The sequence below is a fragment of the Homo sapiens genome, chromosome 6 (genome assembly GCF_000001405.40).
Source record: "Homo sapiens chromosome 6, GRCh38.p14 Primary Assembly".
Classification (NCBI taxonomy): domain Eukaryota; kingdom Metazoa; phylum Chordata; class Mammalia; order Primates; family Hominidae; genus Homo; species Homo sapiens.
In genome coordinates, this window is record NC_000006.12 from 1,515,744 (window position 1) to 1,535,661 (window position 19,918).

At 46.8% G+C, this 19,918-nt stretch overlaps 1 long non-coding RNA gene across 4 annotated transcripts in view, besides 2 other annotated features; it reads right to left on the reverse strand.

Moving 5' to 3' along the window:
• Positions 1-19,918, reverse strand: part of LOC102723944 (uncharacterized) — a 102,009-nt gene that overhangs the window by 62,466 nt on the left and 19,625 nt on the right. For 2 of the 4 annotated variants that reach the window (XR_926384.2, XR_926382.2), the window contains exon 3: positions 12,621-13,436. The exons of 1 other annotated variant lie outside the window; for it this stretch is intronic. This is a non-coding gene — a long non-coding RNA (uncharacterized LOC102723944). Of the gene's footprint in view, positions 1-12,620; positions 13,437-19,918 lie in introns of those variants that run through there. One more of the 4 variants, XR_001743921.2, reaches the window with a different exon arrangement.
• Positions 8,356-8,525: an enhancer, noted in NCBI's record as "experimental_90995 CRE fragment used in MPRA reporter constructs". NCBI's record gives its function as "activates a minimal promoter by MPRAs in K562 erythroleukemia cells, with activity observed for both the introgressed and non-introgressed 6:1524419 variant alleles {active_cell/tissue: K562}" and the evidence as "EXISTENCE:reporter gene assay evidence [ECO:0000049][PMID:34662402]".
• Positions 8,430-8,489: a silencer, noted in NCBI's record as "silent region_16821". NCBI's record gives its function as "represses an Ori minimal core promoter by ATAC-STARR-seq in GM12878 lymphoblastoid cells {active_cell/tissue: GM12878}" and the evidence as "EXISTENCE:reporter gene assay evidence [ECO:0000049][PMID:35858748]".

Sequence of the window (19,918 nt, forward strand, 5' to 3'; positions counted from 1 at the left end):
AATACAAAAATTAACTGGGCCTGGTTGTGTATGCCTGTAATCTCAGGTACTCAGGAGGCTGAGGCAGGAGAATCGCTTCAACCGGAAGGCAGAGGTTGCAGTGAGCCGGGATCATGCCACTGCATTCTAGCCTGGGCAACAGAGCAAGACCGTCTAAAAAAAGAAAAAATCATCAGGGAATACATTTTGTGCCATATGTATTGGGTGAATTAAGGAAAGGCTCCTTATGTGATAGTTCATTTATGCCTCACCATCACCTCCTAAGATAAGGAATAGCAGACAATTTTCCAGAGGAAGAAATGAGGTTTAGAAGGAATGTAATTTTAAAGTCACATGACCAGCAGGTCCCAGACCCTGTATTGAAACCTGAGTATATCTGGCTTATGTTCTTCCTACTGCATATGCTATATCTTCCAGGAAGAAAAAAGTATTTACAGTGTCCTAAAAGGTCGTCATAGTTGGAAAGGACCTTATGGATAATCCAGGCAGAAGTCTCTCCCTTTTTACATTAAGCTATATAAAGTCTTAAACGGAACTAAGGCTCAATTATGTTAACTGAAAGACGTTATCCCGTCGTGTGATCCAAGATGACCCTAGCGGTGCTCGGAAGTTGCTTTGCCGGGCAGCAGCCGTTCGCCAGTCCCCTCCTTGGCCCCAAGCCCCCCGGTGACTGTCATATGGCCTCACACTTATCTCATGAGCTACATTGTTACAGATTTTAATAATGTAACATCCTTCTATGACGGATGTGCAAAAGCAGGCATCAGAAACCATTGACATTTATTATCATTGTCTGTTACTATCACTAGGAAAGTTGGAAGCTGTCGTTTTTAATGCAGAAAAATCGGGTCTAAATGTCTGAACCCCCTTTACTCAAAGCTCTGCTGAAGTGAAGCACATATTAAATAGTGTTTCTAAATGACCATTGACCTGGCATTTCCCCAATCAAAGATGGTTTTTTGTTATTTATTTTTAATTATGTCACATCTATGAAACACAATTTGCCAAAAGCAAGCCCTTCAGCGACCTCTGAGCGCTGAGTTCTGATGGCACAGGAGGGAGCCCTGTAACAATCGTGTGTGTTTTCCATGATCCCAGAGGACTGCCCTCCAGCTCTGCAGAGAAGTCTCCTCTGCAGCACGAGGGGCCCACCAGCCTCGAGGCACAGAGGAGACCAGAGCACATCTACACTCAGGTCTGGTGCTCTGGCCAGAAGCAGAGGCTGCCAATTGTACTCAGCCATACTTAATTAAGTAATAGTTTTATGAGGTGGACGGCAATACCCCAGGGGCCAACTCAAGGCCACAGGATTTATTGAGCTCTAACTGCAAACCGACAGTCCCCAGCATGCACACAACAGAGTCTGTATTACGAGAAAGTTAGTGTTGCGAGAGAATTCTTTCCAGGGAAAGTGAGGTGCCCATTCTTCATTTGCTAGCAGGTTCTCTGCTCCGTGAAGCACCAGCACTTCCAACAGGAGCCTGGGTGGACACACCGTGCAGAATGAAAGATGGGGAGCAATGACCTGAAAGCATGCGTGGGGTTTGCCTGGTCAAGAGAGGCAGGAAGTGGTGGCTTCTAAAGAGGAAGCACCTTCACAAGCAATAACCAACAGCAGTGGGATTTCGGTGGGGGAACAACTGAGGACAAGACAGGTCAGGCAAGGGTGTGATAATTAACTATGGTTTCAAGAAGGAGAGGGCCAGAGCCAGTCACCTGTCCCCAGGTGTCACTGTAACTCCACCCCTCCATCAGCCAAATCAGCGCCAGGAAGCAGGAATGAGTGATGCAGGCAGCCGAAGGGGCCACTCACCCCTGGATCTCCGTATCTAGCTGTTTAGCTGTGGGGAACGTTATTGAACGCGGATTTTAAGACACACAAAATACTCCGCTGTAAATCCAAAGAAACACATTCGTAGACTTACAAGTTTACAGATTCTAGCCCATACAGGAGTCAGAAAGTCCATGAGAACCTGGAAGCACCTGCCTGTTTAGATTTTGTCCTTCATCTTTTCTGCCGTCACCCTTGGGTAGCTCTCCCAGCAAGACCACTGGAAGAAAGACTGAACTTAAAGCAGTTGTTTCCTTGGAATACTTATAAAAATATGAAGGCTTTGTGTGTTCTTTTTAAAAATCTATAACATTGCAACCTGATTCAAAGCAAACACATAAAAAAACACAAGGCTGATAGGTAAGAAAAAGACCTTAATGAGGGATCCTTAGAGATGTTCATGTATTGAAGCCAGTGGGTCAAGGCAGAGACCCTTTGAGGCCCTTGCAGGAACTGGTTAGTGCTGAGCATAGTGGCCATCCCTTCTAGCTTGCCCAGGGCAGTATCATTTTATCCTGCTGTCCCGGGGTCATCATTAACACCATCCCCTTTCAGATTGAAAGGCATTCTGTAACCACAGAACTAGTTCAAACCGATTCAACCCTGTCAGTAACAAAATGTAATGAAATGTGAGCTGTTTTTCAGTGCAACAGACCCCCAGATTACAAGTCATATAATCTGAGTGTGCCAGATGAACTAAGCAAGCCCTATCCATGCTGGCCAGAACATAAAAGCCAACCACAGGTGGAACCAAAATATTCAGGCTGCAGAACAGAGAGCAAATTAAGAAGCAAGAGGTGCCCTGTTTTGTTGCAGTACAGACTTTACAGCCAAGGGCCCATCATTGCCCCTTTGCATGACCCAGTTGGATCCCACCTTGCGGCATCTTCCTGTCTCCCCCATAGTTACCCTCTGCCTATAAAACCTGCCCCCAGACTTTGGCTGGGGGAGATGGATATGAGCGTCCTCTCCAGTCTCTTTGCCAGTCCATTCACAATAAGGCTTTTTCTTTTCTCAAAAGCCCATGCCATAGCATTGGTGTCTATGTGTGTTGGGAAGCAAGCCAATGACGATCCCAGTTTGGACAACAAATTCTGTAGTCACCTGGAGCTGGGAATCAGACCTGGAGCTCTGACAGCTTCTCATCCTCCAGGTGAAGGTTCCAGCAACGACCACCAGCCTGGTGCCCTCGATTGGCCTTGGTTCCAAAGCGGGCAGTGGTGATTAACAGTCCGAGGCACACTGGAGGTCCGAAGCCATGTCAGCTCCTGTGCTGGCCTGAGTAGCCGTGTCTGCCCCACGTGACCGGGAAGTCAAACACTCAGCCTCCCTGGCATCTGCCCCAGGCCCATCCGGATGGATGGCATCATGGTGATGGGAGGAAGCACTCCCCACTTTGTGACCTGAAGGTCAAGACAGTGCTCTTTCCCAGCCCAGCTAAGGAGTCCTCTTTAACCTTGTAACAGCCATCAGTCTACTTGGTTGTCATGGAAACACAAACCAAAGATCCCTCTTTCTCATTAGGATCCCATCACATTCCGGCGTCTTAGGGAGAAGCTTTGGGAATAGCCAGGCGTCATGGTGGTGAGCACCTGCAGTCCCAGCTGACTCAGGAGGCTGAGGCAAGAGGATCGCCTGAGGCCAGGAGTTCTAGGCTGCAGTGAGCAATGATTGTGCTACTGCACTCCAGGCTGGGCAACAAAAAGAGACCCTATGTCTAAAAAGTAAATAAATAATTTAAATTTAAAAACTAACAAAGGAGTTTGTTGCTCTCTCGCATCATAGTCTAGATGAATGTTCTAGTTTGACAGGTGGTTCTGGGCCACGCAGTCATTCAGGGCCCCAGGCAGAGAGCATGTCTGCCATCTTTGGCCCATGACTTCCAGGGTAGCTGTGGTCATTGCCACTGTTGTCAGTAAGGAGGGAGCAGTGAGGAAGGATGATGCACTCCCATTGTTTTATGGGCCCCAATATGGAAATGGCCCACATTATGGGAAGAATTTAGCTAAGTTGGCCCAAGTACTGCAGAGAGGACTGGGAGAGGTTGTACCTGGTTGGTATCCAGATCCCAGGTAGAATTTATTTTTATGAATGAGGGTTAGAGTGGATGTTGGCTTACAACTAGCATTTTCCATCACAAAGGTGATACTTCCTTCCCCTCAGGCTGTTGCAACAAGTAGCTTACAGTAAATGTGCCCAGCACACACTGGTATTCAAGAAATGGGAACTCTTCCTCTTCCTATTTCTAACATGCTCTTGTCTGGTCTCGAGTCTGTAAATACCCTCCCTATGCTGGTCATTTCCAAAATTACATGACTCCTTCTAAATTCTCCCCTGAGCTCCAGCTCTAAATATCCAACTGACGACTTGTCGTACCCACTTGGATATGTAATAGACATCTCAAATTTAGTATGTGCATACGTTGAAATTTATCAAATCATGCATTTTAAATATGTGTAGTTTATTGTGTGTCGATTATACCTCAATGAAATGGTTTTGAAATAATGGTATGGACAAAAAGGAGCACTTGCTTTTCCCCCTGAAAGAGACCCTTCCCCAGTTGCCATCATTTCAGCAAATGGCACGACACAGTTGCCCATTTCAAAACTTGAGGTCTCCTCCTTGGGTCCTTTCCCCTCCCTACTCCCACATTCAACCTGTGGCAGTCCTGTCTGTGCCATATCGCAGGCCGCCTGCTTCTCCCCACTCATAGCCACGGCCCTGGCAGGGGCTGCCAGCATCTTGTGCTCAGTTCCTGCAACAGCCTGCCTGCTGGGACCCTGTCTCCACACTTGCAGCCTTCCAGTCCCATCTCTGTGTGTGTATGTGGTGAGATATAAACAATATCAAATGTACTGTCTTAGCCATTCTTAAGAGTACAGTTCAGTGGCATTAAGCACATTCACTTGGTTGTCCAACTGTCACCATCATCCATCTCCAGGACTTTTTCATCTCCCCAGACTGAAACTCTGTCCCCATTAAACACCAGCTCGCCATTCCCTTCACTCCAGCCCCTGGCAGCCACCACTCTACTTTCTTTCTCAATGAATTTGACTACTCTGGATACCTCGTGTGAGTGGGATCACACAGCATTTGTCCTTTGGTGTCTGGCATATTTCAGTGAGCATGACGTGCGTGCATGTTGTAGTATGTGTCAGAATGTCCTCTTTTTTTGAAGACTAATATTCCATTGTGTGGATAGACCACATTTTGTTTACTCATTCATCTGTCAATGGACATGGGTTGTTTCCACCTCTTGGCTATCGTGAATAACACTGCTATAAACATGGCAGGTAAGCAGCTGTTCGAGCCCCTGCTTTCAGTTCTTTTGAGTATCCTGAGAAGTGGAATTGCTGGATCTTATGGTAGTTCTAGGCTTAATTTTTTGAGAAACCACCATACAGTTTCCCAGCCACAGCTACCCCATGTTACATTCCTACTAACACTGCACAAGAGTCCCAGTTACTCCACACCTTCAACAACACTTGTTTTTGTTTTTTTGAGATGGAATCTCACTCTGTCGCCCAGGCTGGAGTGCAGTGGTGCGATCTCGGCTCACTGCAAGCTCCGCCTCCCGGGTTCACGCCATTCTCCTGCCTCAGCCTCCCAAGTAGCTGGGACTACAGGCGCCCGCCACCACACCTGGCTAATTTTTTGTATTTTTAGTAGAGACGGGGTTTCACCATGTTAGCCAGGATGGTCTTGATCTCCTGACCTCATGATCTGCTCACCTCGGCCTCCCAAAGTGCTGGGATTACAGGCGTGAGCCACCACGCCCGGCCTGTTTTTTTTTTTTTTTTTTATGATAGCCATCCTGATGGGTATGAAATGGGATCTCATTGTGGTTTTGCCGTGCATTTCCCTAATGACTGGTGATGCTGAGCATTTCTTCATATGTTCATTGGCTATCTGTATGTCTTCTTCAGAGAAATATCTATTCAAGCCCCTTGATCATTTTTCAATTGTTTTGTTGCTGAGTTTTAGGTTTATCCTTTAAAACATAAATCAGATCTAGTCATCTCCCACTTTACCCTCTTATCATTGGCTTTCCACTGCATTTAGAATGCAATCGGTCTCCTTCTCTGGTTACTAGCTACCTCCAAACCACCTCTCAGCACTTCCCTGCTGGCTCCCTGAGCAACCCCTAGGGCTCCTTTCTCTTCAGAGGCACCAAGCTCCTGCCCAGCTCTCCCTCCCAGCCCTGACCATCGCAGCACAAAGAGGTCTTCCCTGACTGCCTGAGCTATCCGCCTTAGGAAAAGGCCTGGCATTATTCTCGGTGCCTCATCTTATTTATCACGACCTTACAATCTTGGTTGCTCTTATCACTTTGCTCTTTCACACCATCTCCCTTTTCACACAGCTCCTCAATGCAGGTGTCTTGCCTGTTTCGCTTATGATACCTGATGTCTGCTCACAGCAGGCTGAAGTAAGTATGAGTTAAATGAATGAATTAATCTTCTATTACTCTCCTGTCACTATCACCACTACTTCTGCTCCTACCATTTCTACTATTTATTGAGAATCTCTATGTGCCAGGCACTGTGCTGGGCAACTTCACATACATTAATACCCTCAAAATCTCTGAAAATCAGGCACGTTGTCCAAACTGGGATCGTCATTTTCAGTCTCTGAAAATCAGGCAAAATCTCTGAAAATACGGAATGAGCATGCCCATTCCATAGATATGTCTCAGGTTATTAAGAAACATGTCTAAGGTGGCAGAGTATAATAGCAGAAAAATCCAAATCTTTCCACCTCCAGAGCTCATAGCTTTTTTTGATGCAGGAGCTCAAAATTGGCTTTCTGCTGTTTTCGTGCAAAAGGAAAACTGACCAGGGAGATAGCAGAGGTCACCTTTAAACTGTCCGTTGTGGAAACCTCTGGAAACAAATGCTTACACCTGTGAGGACAGCTTTCCACTGTGCCTCCCTGTGTCCCCCTCCCTTACTCAACTCATCTGACCCTCTTCCTCCCAGCTCAAGCCCCGCCTCCTCCTCCAAGAAGCCCACCCAGCCTGTGGGTTCCCTCTCAGCCCACAGTGCTTCCTCCCTCCTTGGAGTCCCCTGAACCCCCAAGCCAGAGCTGCCTGGCTTGTCTCAGCATGGTCCCCGTCTGCTGACCAGCCACAGGGCTTAGCCTCAGTCTTCTCACCAGACTACAGACCTGAAAAGAGAAGAAACCCCTCCACATAAAGCCAAGCAAAGACCAGAAAGCAGCAGGAAGGGAGACCAGATTTGCCTGGACGACCTCTCCAACAGACTTGCGCTCGGTTGAAACTTCCTCACTGGTCTGTGCACACCATGGAATGTTATTCTGCTTTAGGAAGGAAATCCGTCAAAAGCCCCGTGCTGATCAGTAGTGGGATTATGCCTGTGAACAGCCACTGTGCTCCAGCTGGGGCAACATAGCAAGACCCCATCTCATAAAAAAGGAAGGGAATCCTGTCACACATCTCAGCACGAGTGAACCTTGAGGATGTTATGCACAGATACAAGAAGACAGATACTATATCAGTCCACTCCAGGTTCCTGGAGTGGTCAAATCCACAGAAACAGAAAGTAGAATAGAGCTTGCCAGGGGCTGGAGAAGGGAAGATGGCGAGTTGGGGTTTAATGGGCAGAGTTTCTGTTTGGGACGAGGAGAAAGTCCTGATTCGGGTGGTGGTGATGGTTGCACAGCCATGTGAATGTACTTAATGCCAGTGCACTGCACACTTAAGAATGGTTAAAAGGGTGATGTTTATGGTATATATTTTACCATACAAATAATATACGCGCGTGTGTGTGTGTATATATATTTAAATGTCATGAGTGGAGTAGGGCTCAGCTGGCAGAGGTGCACCGCCTTGCTTGGTTTCCACTCCTCTTGAAGGAAGAGGTGCTGGCATCTGCACCATTCTTAGCGTCGGCACTGCTTTGCACCCCCCGGCTGGCCAGCGCGGGATGTGGGTGGGGAAATAGCCACTACAGTCCGGAGTCTCCCCACTCCCTCCCCAGGCCCACTTCCCCGACGAAGTTTCACTCCATTGTTCCTGGGCATCTCCAGGGGTGTCTAGTTTGAACAAGAAAAGGAATGTTCTGGATGGCTGGTCCTGGGCGCTCACCGGGAATGAACGTGAGCCACTCTTTCGCACACAGGCCACTCTGCGTCAGCCACTCTCGGGCTGCCCCGAAGTGATGTCCTGGTGGTCCGTGGAGCACACAGGAAAGTCCAGCAGACAAACATCATCAAGGTCGGGCATTCTGTCAGCTGCATAAACCCATTTTCTCTAAAATACTTAATGTTAACTTAGGAAAAAAGAAAAAAAAAAAAAACCAGAAAAGCTGCTTCAAGCCAGCCAACGTTCCAAGTCTCGCAGAAGCGTGTGAAAATCCCCACGCTCAGTCGCCCTCTCCCTGCACACGCCCCGAGTCCGCGTCTCCCTCCTGTGTGAATGCAGGGAAAGCGGGAGCGCGGCGAGGGGTCTGGTGCGGACCAGCCCCCGAGCCACAGAGTGCGGGGCCCGAGCTCCGGAAGCCCAGCCTGGGCCGCGACGGCCCCAATTCCAGCAACGCTAGAGGGCGCCCGTGCCAAGCGCCCGCTCCCGGCAAGCCGCGTGCTCCCGGGTGGCCGCAACCGCGGGCCGAGGGGGCGGAGTCATGGAAACACGTGCCACGGCCTGGATGAACCTGCAGGGCCGAACGCTCAGTGAAACCAGCCAATCACCAGAGCACAACTGCCGCGGCACTCCGCTGACCACCCACCTACCTGCCGTTCTGTTCCGCGTTGCCACAGAAAAATACCATAGACTGTAGCTTATAAATGACGGAAATTCAGTTCTCATTGTTCCGGATGCTGAGAAGTATGAGATCAAGGCACCGGCAGATGCGGTGCCTGGCGCAGGTCCTCTTCCTGGTTCTTGCCGTCTTTTCAGGGCACCCTCACATGGTGGGAGGGGCCGAGGATCCCTCCGGGTCTCTTTTATAAGTCCATCAATCCCATTCAGGAGGACTCTGCCCCACCACCTGTTTGTATTGTCTCCCAAAGGCCCCACCTCCTAAGACTATCACTTTGGGGGTCAGGATGTCAACATGTGACTTTGTGGAAAAGGGGGTGCGGCATGAACATTCAGTCCGTTGCACTGCAGTAGTCAGACTCGTGGAGACAGGAGGTAGAATGGTGGTGACGGGCTGCAGGAAGGGGGAATGGGGAGCTAGTGTTTCCTGGGGACAGAGTTTCAGTTTTGCAAGATGAAATGTTCTGAATATGGATGGTGGTGACGGCTGTGCACCATTGTGAGTATACTTAATGCCACACTGAACTGCACACTTAAAAATGTTTAAGGGCTGGGTGCGGTGGCTCACGCCTGTAATCCCAACACTCTGGGAGGCTGGGGCTGGGGGTGGATCACTTGAGGTCAGGAGTTTGGGACCAGCCTGGTCAACATGGTGAAACCCCGTCTCTACTAAAAATACAAAAATTAGCTGGGTGTGGTGGCACAAGCCTGTAATCCTGGCTACTGCGGAAGCTGAGGCACGAGAATCACTTGAACCCAAGAGGCGGAGGTTGCAATGAGGTGAGATTGCACCACAGCACTCCAGCCTGGGCAACATAATGAGACTCCATCTCAAAAAAAAAAAAAAAAAAGTTAAGATGGTAGATTTTATGTTATGTGTATTTTAACACAATAAAAAATCAAAGGTAGCTAATTCCCATTCTGCCCCAATTTCAGAGAAACACGTGGGCGAAGACAGGGAGGGGTGACTGTCGGTGCTGCCCGGGCCCTGCTGCCTTCCAGATCTCTGGCACCAGGGCTCTTTCTAGCTCCCTCCCCAGAAGAGGACATCAGCGACTTGCACAGGCCCCTTCCTGGGCCTGCCTGAACTGCTGGGGGCAATGGTTGTGGAGAGAACCCAGTGTGTGGGCAGAGAGCAGGCAGCGTGCCCCCTTCCCATTCTGCTCCAGCATATCACTCTTGTTGCAACACAGGATGAGTGTTCCCACATTTTGTTTAATATTCACACGCTATAGAGTGCTTCCTCCAGCTCCTCAGTCTTCAGGACAGCCTGGACTCCGGGACTGGTGGTGAGAAGCAGCAGAAATAACAAGCATCCCTGGCCCAGCTCGCTGGCCCCTGGTTGCTTTAGGGAGTCCTGTGCCTTCTCTGAGCAGGAAGTCCCTCATTGAAAATGAGAGGGTTGGACAAGACGATCCCTGAGAAGCCTTGGAGTGCCAGCTTTCTGAGAACTGGCCTGGCACAAATGCCCCATTTAGTACACACGAAGCCAAAACAGAGAGGAACAGGGCCCCAGCAGGAGGAGTCAGCGAGCCGGCCCAGAGCACGCTTCTTAGAAAAGGACACGCTCAGGGACAAGGGCACCATGACCTTCCCAAAGGCACAAAGGGCACAGGGCTCTGCATCTCCTGTTTGTTCCCGGTAGAACATCTCGCTGTCCCGGGAGAATATATGAGGAGTGCATAAATATACAGCCCCGCACTGCTTCCTGGGCTCTTGTGTGATTCCAGGGCCTGTTCTCCAGCAGCTGTGAGCACCCACCCAGACCCCACTGGCCTGGGGACGGCCATTGAGCCAGTCCCACCTGTGAGCCCTTCAGCGATTCTCTGGCCCCCAGCCCCACCTGTCTGTCCACTTTTCCTGGCAGGCTGGTTAGGGGATAAAGCAGATGCACGGGACACTTTACTTGCCCCTTTCCCGTCCACCCCAGTTCAACCCTCCAGGTTACCCTCCGGCAGCAGAGCCACCCCTGCCCAGGACGCGCACTGCCTTCCATTAGGCAACAGTTTCATGAGGCATTTGCCGTCCTCAAGAGGCTGACGTGACAGTGCCTGATTCACAGAGGCTTCCCTCTGACCCAGGTCTAGCTGGCTCCCCAGTGGGACACCCCAGGGCCTTTCCTGGCCCAGATCTGCCGCTCTGGGCTGTCCTGAGTGAGGAACACCTGAATAAGCCACAACATCAAGGAAAGGACCATGAGGATGGGAGCACCCGGGAGCAAGCCCCTCCCTGAGCCTTGGAAACCCCGTGACTCCTATTTTCCATGTCATTTTCTCCATCATGGAATGAACACTTAGAAACTGGAAGCTCGTGAGCAGAATGATTCTGTCCTAGAGCCTGAAGGCGTGCATCAGGGCTGGGTCCTTCCCTGCAGCATAGCTTCTAAACCAACGATTGATATCTTCATTTACCAGCACGATAAAAAAGGAATTCGTTTTCTTAGAAGCTGTGCCTGTCACTCTGCTCAGAAACAGTCCAAGCAGCCGTTCCAAGTGTGGCCTTCAGCCCATGCCAAACTTAGATCAACTGCAGGCTTGGAGCTTTCTGAGGCGAGAATGGAAGTATGTGTGCTGCAGTGGTGTGTGTGGGTGTGCACTCGTGTTTGTAGGTAGCATTTACACACACCCACCGTGGGCATGTACATGTGTCTCCCTGTGCCAGTATGCTGAGAGCTTCAGGACATGGCAGGCACTCCACATGCAGGGGATGGAAAAGCCATCACATTTATTGTCTGTCCTTGTGCGGTATTTAAAATACAACTGAGAATGTGTGCAGATTTTTAAATGTTACTGGACCACTTGGGTTTTTTTTGAGACCGGGCTGACTCTGAGCCAGACTGCATCTGTCTGCGTTGAAAGGGACCATTCTTTCCCTCCTGCTCCCGCCCTGCCCCCTCCACACACACCCTCCTTCATGTGAAACCCGAGCATTTCCTTTCCCGTAAGCCTTCTTCTAGAAGCCTGTGCTCAGCACAGGGGCCAAGCCCTGCGGCTCAGGCAGGCCCACGTGACTCTTGAACTGCAGACTCAAGTCCCAAGGTGGGAAACCGTTTGTCAACGGCCCCCAGATTTACAACCACGAGGCCAGGCTGGTCTTGGGGTGCAAAGCCATTGTTCAAACCATCAGTCATGCAAGGAGTTCCTAGGATTTTTTATTTTCCCCTCCAAAAAGCTCTCTTCAGCTTTGAAGAAATGCTGTTTCCTCCTCTGGTTACTTCTGCCTGATGAGAATGCTGATCTGGGGATCCAAGTAAAGGGTGGACCACAGAGCACCTTGTCTCTGTGTAAAAGGACACCCCTGTTACTCAGCGTGCCTGAAAGTGCCTGAGTGTTTCCCAGTCCTCATCAGTGTAATCTTAAGCTAGAAGTTCCCCTTGGGCAATGCATCAGGTCTTCCACTTTTTTTCCAATAGACACCATGGGCCATACTTCCTAAAATACATGTTTCTAAATCTTCTACTTTTTTTGAAAAACAATTTTGAATCATTAAAGAAATTTTTGAAAATAGCTTTCTATAACCCACAACACCTCTTTGTGAACCCCATGATTTTCATTTGTTGAAATTTTCCGATTCTGACCATGGGAATGTGTGTCTTACCAAATTTCAACCAGACATCCAGTGTTTCCACCTAACATGCCATTTAAAGCCACTTCCATATTCAATTCAGTCTGCGCAATTCTAGTTCCAAACGCTCGGTTTCTGTTCCATTCAGAGAATGTGCTGAGATTTCTTCTGTCATTCCCTTATTCCTGGACATTTAGGTGCAACAAGTGTAGACGGGTTGTTTTTTCCACTGAATCATTTCCTTCAGATGAATTTCCACCAGCGAGATGATTGGATCCACTGGTATAATCATTTTCAAGACTTGATGTATTTCAAATTACTTCCCAAAAAGCCTTTAACTACTTACAATGCCACCAAGAGCTAGCACAATTTTTTTTATTGTGAAATTGCCAGGAATTAAATTAGCTTTTCTTGACTTAGCAGATAAAAATTGACAATCTCAAAAGGTTCATTTTCATTTCTTTAATGACTGGTGAAGGTTTTATTGTTTTGCTTTTGTTCCCCCCCACCCCTCAAACTCTGTGCCTGTTTAAATGTATCCTGTGGCTACATCTTCATCCTTCCTCTCTCAAATCCTACTGCAAAGCAAAGGATGCAGACGGGGGTTGTAGTGAAAGGGAGCTGGGATCATCAGAATGGCCTATAGGTTAACCTCCCCATACAAATTACAATGGAGACCTCCCTAGCTATGAGAACATGGGAGACTGAGCCAGGAGATAGGGTGGAGGTGTGCAAAGAAGTCATTGGCAGAAAGAGTGATGGTGGTAGCGTATTTCTTCCCTTTTCTGGGTGATGGTGGGCTTTCTGAGCTGACACCTGCTTTATCCTGGGCCTACTGCCTTCCATGGGACTCTCACATCCCGGAGGCTTAGTGTCCCTTCCTAACCACAGGGATCCAGCACTTAAGCTCACTCTATACAGCTGTTTTGCCTTCAAAGACTAGTACTTCTAATACACATTCTCCACTTTCTCTCCAATAGTGGTGTTGGCTTTGCAAAGTCTTTCTTCCTTGTGAAAGGGAGCTTCAGGGCCATGGGCCAAAGCCTCCAGGGGCTCCGCTTTGGGAATCTGATGGAAAGCAGGCATACATCCCCTACCAGCCACTGCAGCCACCAGGAACTCTGCAGGGATGTTCTGTGTTGCCCTGGTGAAGACGCTGATGCCTAGTCAATACCTTGGGATGGCTCTTCTTGAGGCCCGCCAGCACTGATGTTGTCTTTCGAGGAAGTTAAGGCACAGCTTTGGAAGACGAGAAGGAGAAACCTGGTGAGAAATTAGGGGCAGGGCATCTGCCATGTTTCCCAGATGTTGAGGCGTCTAAGGAGTTTTCTACTGACGAGGATCTTAATTCCAACATTCAGGACTCTTTATTCGTATATTAAACAGCCCTTCCCAGAAAAGCTTCTCTACTGTCCTAGACAGATGATTTCCCTGTAAACCATCAAACGTGGTCCCTCGGACAGTCACACTCCTGAGCTTCTTGGGGTTCCTATGCTGTGCCGTGTTTTCCCCTCTAGCGTGGCAGGAATTGCCCACATGACACGTGTCTGCTTGTGTCTGTCTCTCCCATTAGACTGTCAAGTCCGGGAAACAAGAGCGTCTCCCACTTCTCCTGTTCCCAGCTCGTGGCAAGCCGTGGGGGTGTTGAGTGAAGGAATGGCTTTGGGCGTGAAACCAAGGGCTAATCTGATTAAGCCCATCAAATGTAACCTGCCTTGCATGCTTCTAATCACTTGCTTCTTGTCAGCTTTTTAACCTATGTAGCTAAAAGTCACAGAGCCAAAAGCACCTGCCTCAACTCCCTCTAGCTTCCTGATAGATAACATCTCTGACAGTGGGTCACTACAGTAACAGTCACTTAAAGTTGTTTTTTAGGAACTAGGGGGCAGGTCCTGTCCAGATTAAACCAGTTGAGACCACCAACCTTTCAACTAGGCCTGCATGAATGCCTGAGAGGTGACCTTTTGAGATCACCGGGCCAAAAACTGCCCCCTCAGGGGCACCATTTTCTGAACATGCAGCCTATGAAGAGCCAGGAAGAGCCATGAAGAGCCATGAAGCTTGACTATGCATGTACACATGGCCAATTACCTCGCTTTTCTTCACCCTCAGTCACCTTTCCCCACACCTCAGATCACCTTGCTTCCTTATGCCATATATATCTCTAACCTGACTTTTGGGGAGGCAGATTTGAGACCTGTTCTCCTGCCTCCTTGCTTCGTAGCCTCATGGATCAACCCTTTCTTCTTTGCAAAGCCCATTGTCACAGTGATTGGCTTACTGCATGCAGGCAGAATGAGCAGGGAGACAGACCTAATACTGACCCTCCTTGAGTAAGTGGATGACTGCAGAGCTGGGATGGAAATCGAGGCACAGAGAAGGTAACAGCACCAAGATCTGTTCTAACCATCCACCCCAAACAGCTCCCCTGCCCAGAATCCCATGTGACCAAGGGCCCATGTGAACCCACGCAGAGCCCATACGAATAAAACCCTTGACATCAGCTTCTTGGGAACCAACCCGCCACCTCCTGAACCAACCAGCTACCAATTAAGCATTAGTCCCCAGAGCAGGAAGCCTGGGCACCTGCTGCATTCTTGGTGGAACCTCATCAGCCCCTGCAGGGTAATCACGCCATCCCAGGTGGCCTCCTGGGATCAGCAATCAGCGACACTCTGATAATGAAATTACTGGGCCCTGATTGCAACAAACTTCCTTGAAGATCCTGGGCCAGTCTTTCTATCTGGGTATTATGAGAGATAATCAGTTTCATCTGGTTTCGGTTCTTTTAAAACTCCCCCTTTGAAATATTCAGATCATTATCTGTAACCAGCGCCTTGCTTCAGCTTTATACAATTTGTGTTAGAGACTGTTATGTGTTCACCAAACCCCAGACAGCTTTTTAAAGAAATTTTATGCATATATAGTATAGGCATGTACATCGCTTCTATTTTTTTGCATGTGATAGCACAATATTACTTTCTTTTCACTTATTACTATCACTTATTACTTATTATTCACTTTTCACTTATTACCAATATTATTACAATATTACTATCTTTTCACTTAGCACCATGTCTTGGAGTCCTGTCTATATCAGTACATTTAGAACAGTCTTGTTCTTTTTCATGGCTGTGTAGTATCCCCATGTGGATTTACCATAATCTGTTTAACCTGCCACCCACTGATGGGCATTTAAGTTGTTCTCAGACTTCTCCTATTATGAGCAATGTTGCACATTCTTGTGAAATTATATCTGCAAGATATAGTCCTAAAGTGGGATTGCTAGGTCAAAGGGCATGTGCATTTTTATTATGGGTAGGAATTGTCCAATTGTCCTGCACAGATATTGATGCCAGTTCTCACTTAAGTTGACCATGTGTGAATGTGACTGTCTCTCCTTATGCCTATGATATTTTATCACCTGTTTAATCTTTGTTAATCTGATAAATGAAAAAAATCTCATTGAAGTTTTGAGTTGTATTTCTTTTTTTTTTTTTTCTTTTTTTTGAGATGGAGTCTCACTCTGTCACCCAGGCTGGGGTGCAGTGGCACGATCTCCGCTCACTGCAACCTCTGCCTCCCTGGTGTTCAAGCGATTCTCCTGCCTCACCCTCCCGAGTAGCTGGGACTACGGGTGCATGCCACCACACCTGTCTAATTTTTTTGTGTTTTTAGTACAGACCGGGTTTCACTGTGTTAGCCAGGATGGTCTCGATCTCCTAACTTCATGATCCACCTGCGTGGGCCTCCCAAAGTGCTGGGATTACAGGTGTGAGCCACCGCGCCTGGCTGAGTTGTATTTCTTATATTATGAGGTTGAGCATCTTTTGCTAGGCTTTAGAGGCATTGATTCTGCTTGTCTTTCAACTCTCACTTCACCCTCTTTGCCCATGTTTCTACTGGGTTCTTTCCTTACTAATTTGTAAGAACTCTATACATCAAGAGCATTAGAACCCTGTGCAGTCCAAGTTGAAGCATTTCTTTCCCCTTTGACTCAGGTATTTGGGGTATTTTGCTGTTTTGTTTGTTTTCCGCCATGTGGAAGGTTTTTTCTTTTACATACAGTCATCCCACTATGGGTCCACATCTGCAGATTCAACCAACTACAGATGGAAAATATTTGGAAAAGAAACAATTAAAAATAACAACGCAGCAATAAAAAAAATACAAATAAAAAAACTATACAGTATAACCACTATTTACATAGCATTTACATTGTATTAGCTATCATAAGTAACCCAGAGATGATTTAAAGTATACAGTTATATGTACACACTATACCATTTTATATCAGGGACTTTAACATCTGAAGATTTTGGTATCTGTGGGGGTCCTGGACCCAATTCCCCAGATACCGAGGATGAACTGTATTTATTTTCTTTTAGTCTTTTTGCACTTTTGTCATACTTTTAGCACGTATACTAAATTCTAATATGTATTTGAATGTTCTTGAACTTTATAGACTGTTCCATTGAGCTTTCGCTCCACATCAGAAACTCATTGTTTATTATTATAGCTTAATATGTGACTAATATCTGGCACAGATAGTCCCCTTCCCCTATTATTCCTTTTTTCTAGAACTTTCCTGCCTCTGCTTGCTTATGTATCTTCCCATAAGAGCCTTGGCATTAACTCCCTACATCCAAAAATATTATATTGAAATATTTAACCTATAGAAAATCGACCTGTTAATGATATCAAGTGTTATACAATAACATGGTATGTGGGTTTCTTGTTGTTCTGGGGGGTTTTGGTTTATTTGTTTGGTTGGTTGGTTGGTTGGTTTTGGTTTTGGTTTATTATTGTTATTGTTTGTTCTTGGCTAAGTCCTAAGCTAATGACTACAGGGTACAAATTTTGATCCCAGCCAACTTGCTAAAATATGTTACTGTTTGTAATTCCCTGGAAAACCCAAGAAAACCTGCTAGAATAAAATAACTATCATAGAAGCTTCAAATGACAATAGTTTACCTTCTCCTTTTAAATTTTTATATATCTCATTTCTTCTAGTGTGTTATATTGACTGATCTCTAGAACAGTGTTACATGATATTTGTGAAAGTGTATCTACTTGTCTTACTCCTTTCCTTAATATCAATGATTCAAGTGTTTCTACATTTTTAAGTATGATACTGTCTTCGGGATTAAAATATGCTTTTATATCATGCTAAGGACGTATTTATTATTATTTTCAGATATTTTATGCAGAATAAATAACACTAATGGATTAATGAAGCTAAACATGAACCAAAAAATTGTTGCTAACATTGCAAACAAAGAGTCAACCAGCTGTTAGGTATCTCCTCATAGAAAAGCACACACAACCTAAAAAGTAATTTTTCATAAAAATATCAAAGTTGGATCTCACCAAGCCTCTAGATCGAACTACCAACTTACAGAAATGCAGAGGACAGAACAGTCTATTTAATACACTACACAGAGGGAGCATGCTGCAAAACACAGACTCTGGGAAACTCTACAGGACACAGGCCCAGGTCTTTCAACAAATGTATTCCAAGTGGGGAAAACCAAAAGATGGAGGGAGATCCCTTTAGGTTAAAGGAAACTTAAAACACATCAACCAACTGCAATGTATGGCCTTACTGGGATCCTGATTCAAATCAACATGATGTCAAAAAAGTATTCACAAGACAATTAGAACTTTGAACACTTACTGGATATTTGATGACATTAAGAAAGTACTGTTAATTTTTTTTGGTGTGATAATATCATTATGGTTGTTTCATAAAATCTTCTTCTTGAAGAGATATGTACTAAATAACTGATGGATGAAATGATACGCTGTCTAGGATTTGGTTCAGAAGAGTATACGGGGAAGCATGGGGAGGAGTATAGAGTAATGAGACTGGCCATAGTGTGAGCTGTGCGGTGGGTGTGGAGTATAGAGTAATGAGACTGGCCATAGTGTGAGCTGTGCGGTGGGTGTGGAGTATAGAGTAATGAGACTGGCCATAGTGTGAGCTGTGCGGTGGGTGTGGAGTATAGAGTAATGAGACTGGCCATAGTGTGAGCTGTGCAGTGGGTGTGGAGTATAGAGTAATGAGACTGGCCATAGTGTGAGCTGTGTGGTGGGTGTGGAGTATAGAGTAATGAGATTGGCCGTAGTGTGAGCTGTGTGGTGGGTGAGGAGTATAGAGTAATGAGATTGGCCATAGCGTGAGCTGTGCGGTGGGTGAGGAGTATAGAGTAATGAGATTCGCCATAGTGTGAGCTGTGCTGTGGGTGTGGAGTATAGAGTAATGAGACTGGCCATAGTGTGAGCTGTGTGGTGGGTGTGGAGTATAGAGTAATGAGACTGGCCATAGTGTGAGCTGTGCGGTGGGTGTGGAGTATAGAGTAATGAGACTGGCCATAGTGTGAGCTGTGCGGTGGGTGTGGAGTATAGAGTAATGAGACTGGCCATAGTGTGAGCTGTGTGGTGGGTGTGGAGTATAGAGTAATGAGATTGGCCGTAGTGTGAGCTGTGTGGTGGGTGAGGAGTATAGAGTAATGAGATTGGCCATAGCGTGAGCTGTGCGGTGGGTGAGGAGTATAGAGTAATGAGATTCGCCATAGTGTGAGCTGTGCTGTGGGTGAGGAGTATAGAGTAATGAGACTGGCCATAGTGTGAGCTGTGCAGCGGGTGTGGAGTATAGAGTAATGAGATTGGCCATAGTGTGAGCTGTGCGGTGGGTGAGGAGTATAGAGTAATGAGATTGGCCATAGTGTGAGCTGTGCGGTGGGTGAGGAGTATAGAGTAATGAGACTGGCCATAGTGTGAGCTGTGCGGCGGGTGAGGAGTATAGAGTAATGAGACTGGCCATAGTGTGAGCTGTGCGGCGGGTGAGGAGTATAGAGTAATGAGATTGGCCATAGTGTGAGCTGTGCGGTGGGTGTGGAGTATAGAGTAATGAGACTGGCCATAGTGTGAGCTGTGTGGTGGGTGTGGAGTATAGAGTAATGAGATTGGCCGTAGTGTGAGCTGTGCGGTGGGTGAGGAGTATAGAGTAATGAGATTGGCCATAGTGTGAGCTGTGCGGTGGGTGCGTGGCGGTTTATTTACTATTCTGTCTACTTTCATATTTGTTTGAAATTCTCCATTACACAAAGTTAAAAAAAAAAAAGAATAATGCATTTAGATAAATGTTTTTTTAGAATCTGTGGAATAACGGAATGTTTTTTCTCTTATATTCTATTAATATGTTGAATGTGATTAATATATTTCCTACTTTGAGCCAATCCTGACTTCCTGGAAAAAAAGCCACTGGGTCATGGTTCATTATTCTCCTAATGAGCTGCTAGGTTCTCTTTGCTGCTATTTTGATAAGGATTTTGAATTATTATTCTTAAATGAGATTAATGAAGACTTTCGTTTCAAAGTAGATCCAAGGATAGATGCCTGAGATCCTCAATAGTAATAATTACGGCAACAAATATTGATTACTGGCCCTTGTGCTGAACACTGTACATCTTAGCTCATCCTGCGCTGGGGCAGGAAGCGGAGGGTGGGGCAGGAAGCGGAGGGCAGAGCAGCACACATCAGTGGGACACACACCTCTGCATGTGTCATTCCTGAAGTCAGATGCACAAAAGCTGCCAAATACCATGCATGCTTTCCTAGTCTCAGTTGCACAGCCAAACACCCTCCAGTTCCAATGAGAGGTCATTGCCCAGAGAATGACCTAAATCAGGATAGAAGTTGTTCCTTGACAGTCTTTTCCTGGGCCAATAACCTGCTTCACT